At 44.4% G+C, this 7458-nt stretch overlaps 1 pseudogene; it reads left to right on the top strand.

Annotated features, from left to right (window-relative positions):
* The first annotated feature begins 2536 nt into the window (after positions 1 to 2536).
* LOC107987089 (uncharacterized) lies at positions 2537 to 6035 on the top strand (annotated as a pseudogene).
* The last annotated feature ends 1423 nt before the right edge of the window (positions 6036 to 7458 follow it).

Raw genomic sequence — 7458 nt, 5'->3', positions numbered from 1 at the left:
GATCTTAGGTGTGTCTGTAAGGGTGTTGCCAAAGGAGATTAACATTTGAGTCACAGGGCTGAGGAAGGCAGACCCACCCTCAATCTGGGTGGGCAACATCTAATCAGTTGCCAGTGAATATAAAGCAGGCAGAAAAATATGAAAAGGCTACACTGGTTTAGCCTCTCAGCCTACATCTTTCTCCTGTGCTGGATGCTTCCTGCCCTTGAACATCAGACTCCAAGTTCTTCAGCTTTGGCACCCGGACTGATTTCCTTGCTCCTCAGCTTGCAGAAGGCCTATTGTGAGACCTTGTGACTGTGTGAGTTAATACTACTTAATAAACTCTCATTCATATATAGGATATATATATCCTATTAGTGCTGTCCCTCTAAAAAACCTTGACTAATACAGGCTTTGGTACCAGGAGGGGTTCTAGAGGAACAGAATATTAAGGATGGAGTTCTTTCGTTGGTTTTGGGGTTTCTGGAGTTGGCTGTTGAATATGATTAGACCCAAAAATGCTAACAACTCTACTTCTAATAGTGTGGAGAACACTGATAGTCCTTGGCATGAACTGTTTAGAGAGTTATGCAAAATAAATGCATTTGACACTCCCGGTTCACAGCTCGCGAGAGGCAAGGAGTTTAATAACTCTATACATAACACCTTTGACCATATGTGGAGAACCAAGAAACATAATGAAGCTGGTTGGTTGCTCCTAAGTTCACTGGAAAAAGTGATGAAAGAAAATGATGAACTCAGTGATTCTAACTCCTGGTTTGTGAAGCAGATACTTAGCCTCAACTCATCTAAGATTGCCCTGAGTCAGTCTTATCTCCTTTAGAGAAAAAGCTGAAGCTGTGGAAAATCAGACACAAGCTCTTATCATGCGAGTAGCTGACCTGCAATGAAAGGTGCATGCACAGCCTCACCAGGTATTTTTTTTTTTTTTTTTTTGAGATGGAGTCTCGCTCTGTTGCCCAGGCTGGAGTGCAGTGGTGTGATCCGGGCTCACTGCACGCTCCGCCTCCCAGGTTCAAGTAATTCTCCTACCTCAGCCTCCTGAGTAACTGGGATTACCGGCGCCCGCCACCTCATCCAGCAAATTTTTGTATTTTTAGTAGAGATGGGGTTTCACCATTTTGGCCAGGCTGGTCTCGAACTTCTGATCTCATGATCCACCTGCCTTGGCCTCCCAAAGTGCTGGGATTACAGGCATGAGCCACCACACCCAGCCTAGGTGTCTACTGTTAAAGTGAGGGCATTGACTGGAAAAGAATGGGACCCTGCAACTGGGAATAGGGAAGTGTGGGAGGACCCTGACGAAGCTGGGGACACGGAACCTCTAAACTCTGATGAAACTTTCTTGCCAGAAGAAACAGCTTCCCCATCGCCAGTGGTGGCAAAATCCCTTTCCTGATCCATGCTGCCATCAGCCTTTCCAGCTTTATCTGAGGAGATAAACCCTGAGCTGCCTGAGGCAATTGTGATGGCCTCCTCTGAGGTAGTTACCAGGCAAGATAATATTGATTCTCCTCAGGAGCCACCCCCAACACCCCTGTTTGCTTCTAGACCTGTAACTAGACTAAAGTCCTGGCGAGCCCCTAGAGGTGAGGTTCAGAGTGTGACTCGTGAGGAGGTGCACTACACTCGAAAAGAACTGCTTGAATTTTCTAATTTATATGAACAGAAATCTGGAGAATAGGCATGGGAATGGATATTAAGTGTGTGGGATAACAGTGGAAGGAACAGAGTTGGATCAGCTGAATTTATTGATTTGGGCCGACTAAGTAGGGATTTTGCTTCTAATGTTGCAGCTCAGGTGGTCAAAAATGGTTCTAATAGTTTATTTACTTGGTTAGCTGAAATATGGATTAAAAGATGGCCCATTGTGAGCAAGCGGGAAATGCCTGATCTCCCTCGGTTTAATATAGAGGAAGGGATCCAAAGGCTTAGGGAGATTGGGATGGTGGAGTGGATTAGTCACTTTAGACCTACTCATCCCAGCTTGGGGGGTCCAGAAGATATACTCTTGACCAATGCCTCATGAAATAGATTTGTGAGGGCAGCACCTGCATTTTTGAAGAGCCCTGTAATTGCTCTTCTCTGTATGTCAGATCTAACAATGGAAATCATAGTTGCTCAACTACAACATATAAATACAATGGGGATAATTGGATCCTGAGTTGGCAGGGGCCAAGTGGTGGCACTCAACCATCAAAGGCAAGGTGGGCATAGCTACTGTAATGGACAGCAGAGGCAAAGCAGCAATCAGAATAGTCTGACTCGTGTAGAGCTCTGGCATTGGCTAATTAATCATGGTATTCCTAGAAGTGAAATTGATAGGAAGTCTGCTGAATTCCGACTTAATTTATATAAGCAGAAAACTTCCAGGTCAAATGGACAAAAGACTAATTTGAATTATAAAAACAGAGAATCATGACCCCTCATTCATTTTCCAGACTTGAGCCAGTTTACAACAGAACCCCTTGAATGAAGGAGCGGCTGGGTCCCCTTGAGGAAGGACTCCATTACACTACTGACAATTTATGCTGTTAATCTTTCTCCCATTCTTCCCCAAGGAGACTGCTGGCCTTTTACCAGGGTAACTGTGCATTAGGGAAAGGGAAATGATCAGACATTTCAGGGACTACTGGACACTGACTCTGAGCTAACATTGATTCCAGGGGACCCAAAACATTATTGTGGTTCTTCAGTTAAAGTAGGGGCTTATGGAGGTCAGGTAATTAATGGAGTTTTAGCTCAGGTCTAACTTACAGTGCGTCCAGTGGGTCCCCGGACTCATCCTGTGGTCATTTCCCCAGTGCCAGAATGCATAATTAGCATAGACATACTTCGAAGCTGGCAGAACCCCCACATTGGCACCCTGACTGGTAGGGTGAGGGCTGTTATGGTGAGAAAGGCCAAATGGAAGCCATTAGAGCTGTCTCTACCTAGAAAAATAGTAAACCAAAAACAATATTGTGTCCCTGGAGGGATTGTGGAGATTAGTGCCACCACCAAGGACTTGAAAGATGCAAAGGTGGTGATTCCCACCATATCCCTGTTCAACTCTCCTATTTGGCCTGTGCAGAAGAATGATGGATCTTGGAGAATGGCAGTGGATTATCATAAGCTTACCCAAGGGGTGACTCCAATTGCAGCTGCTGTACCAAATGTGATTTCATTGCTTGAGCAAATTAACACATCTTCTGGTACCTGGTATGCAGCCATTTACTTGGTAAATGTCTTTTTCTCCATTCCTGTCCATAAGGCCCTCAAGAAACAATTTGCCTTCAGCTGGCAAGGTCAACCATATACCTTTACCATTCTACCTTGGGGGCATATCAACTCTCCGACTTTGTGTTATAATCTCATTTGGAGAGAACTTGATCACTTTTCGCTTCCACAAGATATCACACTGGTTCATTACATTGATGACATTATGCTAATTGGATCCAGTGAGCAAGAAGTAGCAAACACACTGGACTTATTGGTGAGCCATCTGTGTGCCAGAGGATGGGAAATAAATCTGACTAAAATTCAGGGATCTTCTACCTCAGTAAAATTTCTAGGGGTCTAGTGGTGTGGGGCCTGTTGAGATATTCTTTCTAAGGTGAAGGATAACTTGCTGCATTAGGTCCCTCCCAAACCAAGAAAGAGGCACAAAGCCTAGTGGGCCTATTTGGATTTTGAAGGCAGCACATTCCTCATTTGGGTGTGTTACTCTGGCCCATTTATTGAGTGACCTGAAAGGCTGCCAGTTTTGAATGGGGTCCACAACAGGAGAAGGCTCTGCAACAGGTCCAGGCTGCTGTGCAAGCTGCTCTACCACTTGGGCCATATGACCCAGCAGATCCAGTGGTGCTTGAGGTGTCAGTGGCAGATAGGGATACTGTTTGGAGCCTCTGGTAGGCCCCCATTGGTGAATAACAGCAGAAGCCTCTAGGATTTTGGAGTAAGGCCCTGCCATCTTCAGCAGATAATTACTCTTCTTTTCAGAGACAGCTCTTGGCCTGTTACTGGGCTTTGGTGGAAACTGAAAGTTTGACTATGGATCATCAAGTCACCATGCAACCTGAACTGCCTATCATGAACTGGGTGCTTTCTGACCCATCTAGCCATAAAGTGGGTCATGCACAGCAGCATTCCATCATCAAATGGAAGTGGTATATACGTGATTGGGCTTAAGCAGATCCTGAAGGCCAAGTAAGTTACATAAGGAAGTGGCTCAAATGCCCATGATCTCCACTCCTGCCACCCTACCTTCTCTCCTCCAGCCTGCACCAATGGCCTCATAGGGAGTTCCCTATGATCAGTTGACAGAGGAAGAGAAGACTAGGGCCTGGTTCACAGATGGTTCTGCACGATATGCAGGCACCACCTGAAAGTGGACAGCTGTGGCACTACAGTCCCTTTCTAGGATATCCCTGGAGGACAGCGTGAAAGGAAATCTTCCCAGTGGGCAGAACTTCGAGCAGTACACCTTGTTGTGCACTTTGCATGGAAGGAGAAATGGCCAGATGTGCAATTACATACTGACTTATGGGCTGTAGCCAATGGTTTGGCTGGATGGTCAGGGACTTGGAAGTAGCATGATTGGAGAATTGGTGACAAAGAATGTTGGGGAAGAGGTATGTGGATGGACCTCTCTGAGTTGTTAAAAGCTGTGAAGATATTTGTATCCTATGTGAGTGCTCACTGACAGATGACCTCTGCAGAGGAGGATTTCAATAATCAAGTGGATAGGATGACCCATTTTGTGGACACCACTCAGCCTCTTTCCCCAGCTACTCCTGTCATCGCCCACTGGGCCCATGAATAAAGTGGCCATGGTGGCAGGGGTGGAGGTTATGCATGGGCTTAGCAACATGGACTTCCACTCACCAAGGCTGACCTGGCTACGGCCACTGCTGAGTGCCCAATTTGCCAGCAGCAGAGACCAACACTGAGACTTTGATATGGCACCATTCCTCGGGGTCATCAGCCAGCTACCTGGTAGCAGGTTGATTATATTGGACCTCTTCCATCATGGAAAGGGCAGAGGTTTGTCCTCACTGCAATAAACACTTACTCCAGATATGGGTTTGCCTATCCTGCATGCAGTGCTTCTGCCAAGACTACCATCCATGGACTCACAGAACGCCTTATCCACTGTCATGGTATTCCACGCAGCACTGCCTCTGAACAAGAAACTCACTTTACAGCTAAAGAAGTGTGGCAGTGAGTTCATGCTCATGGAAGTCACTTGTCTTACCATGTTCCCCATCATCCTGAAGCAGCTGGATTGATAGAATGGTGGAATGGCCATTTGAAGTTACAATTACGATCAATTACAATGCCAACTAGATGATAATACTTTGCATGGCTGCGGCAAAGTTCTCCCAAAGGTTGTGTATACTCTGAATCAGCGTCCAATATATGGTACTGAATCTGCCATAGGCAGGATTCACAGATCCAGGAATCAAGGGGTGGAAGTGGAAGTGGCACCACTCACCAACACCCCTAGTGATTCGTTAGCAAAATTTTTGCTTCCTGTTCCCTCTACATTACGTTCTGCTGGCCTAAAGGTCTTAGTTCTAGAGGGAGGAATGCTGCCACCAGGAGACATGACAATGCCATTAAACTGGAAGTTAAGATTGCCACCTGGACACTGTGGGCTCCTCCTACATTTAAGTCAACAAGCTAAGAAGGGAGTTACAGCATTGGCTGTGGTGATTGACCTGGACTGTGAAGATGAAATCAGTCTACTATTCCACAATGGAGGGAAGGAAGAGTATGTATGGAATACAGGAGATCCATTACGGTGTCTCTTAGTATTACCATGACCTGTGATTAAGGTTAATGGGAAACTACAACAGCCCAATCTGGTCAGGACTACAAATGACCCAGGCCCTTCAGGAATGAAGGTTTAGTTCACTCCACCAGGAAAAAAGCTATGACCTGCTGAGGTGCTTGCTGACAGCAAAGGGAATACAGAATGAGTAGTAGAAGAAGGTAGTCATTAATACCAGCTATAACCAGGGGACCAGCTGCAGAAATGAGGACTGTAATTGTCATGAGTATTTCCTCCTTCTTTTGTTAAAAACATGTTTGTGCATGTATACACTTGTACTAAGAAAACATCTTCATTTTATTTCCTTTTTCCTTTATCATGTGACATAAGATTTATTGACTTCACATCAGCATTTAAGTACTGTTAACTTTCTGTAATAGTATTTGGGTTGAGGATTGGTGCATTTCCGGTTGTACGAAGGATAGTTGTATTATGTTAGGTGTAATTATGACCTTATTATTGTCTTTATTTGAAGATTATGTGTGATCTCAGGAGACGTGTATGGGTTCAAGTTGACAAGGGGCAGACTTGTGATGGTTAATACTGAGTGGCAACTTGATTGGATTGAGGGATGCAAAGCATTGATCTTGGGTGTGTCTGTGAGGGTGTTGCCAAAGGAGATTAACATTTGAGTCAGTGGGCTGAGGAAGGCAGACCTACCCTTATTCTGGGTGGGCACCATCTAATCAGCTGCTAGCAAATATAAAGCAGGCAGAAAAACGTGAAAAGGCTACACTGGCCTAGCCTCCCAGCCTACATCTTTCTCCCGTGCTGGATGCTTCCTGTCCTTAAACATCGAACTCCAAGTTCTTCAGCGTTGGCACTTGGACTGGCTTCCTTGCTCCTCAGCTTGCAGATGGCCTATTGTAGGATCTTGTGATTGTATGAGTTAATACTACTTAATAAACTCCCTTTTAAATATATATCTATCCTATTAATTCTGTCCCTCTAGAGAACCACGACTAACACAGAGATAAACAATGAGAACACATGGACACATAAAGGGGAACAATGGACACTGGGGCATACTTGAGGGTTGAGAGTGGGAGGACAGAGAGGAGCAGACAGAATACCTATCAGGCACTTTGCTTATTACCTGGGTGATGAAATAATCTGTATACCAAAGCTCCATGACACATGGTTTACCAACACAGCAAACCTGCACATGTACCTAAAATAAAAGTCAAAAAAAATTTGCTCCAGGACCAAAGAACTTTCCCTGGTTTCTCTCAATGTCAGCACTAGAAACTAAAGTGCACAAAAATCATGGGAAATTCCATTGGCTTTATCAAGCAGTCAACTTTGATCAATCTATGTGAACTGTAAGAATAAAATAGGAATTTGGGGGTTTTAGATATAAAAATCAGCTGTTCATTATCTGAAAAAATATTTGTTAGTGGATCAGACAAAGATTTATGGTATCTATTATCTGTGAAAATGTTTCAAATTGCCTTTTCGAATGCAATAATTGTCTTGTTCCCCGCCCCCCCTCAGTGCATTTAGTTGCTGTCAGATTGTTTGCTTTTTCACTTTGTGGAATTGGAACTTTAAAATAATCAAAGTTTCTCAAGGAATCTTTCCAAGGTTTTGTATTTTTTTCAAATTAAATTCATGAATATTTTCAGAAATGGGAAATAATA

Source organism: Homo sapiens, chromosome 9 (genome assembly GCF_000001405.40).
Source record: "Homo sapiens chromosome 9, GRCh38.p14 Primary Assembly".
Classification (NCBI taxonomy): Eukaryota; Metazoa; Chordata; class Mammalia; order Primates; family Hominidae; genus Homo; species Homo sapiens.
The sequence above is the reverse complement of the archived record's forward strand: the minus strand, read 5'-3'. Positions and strand labels throughout refer to the sequence as shown.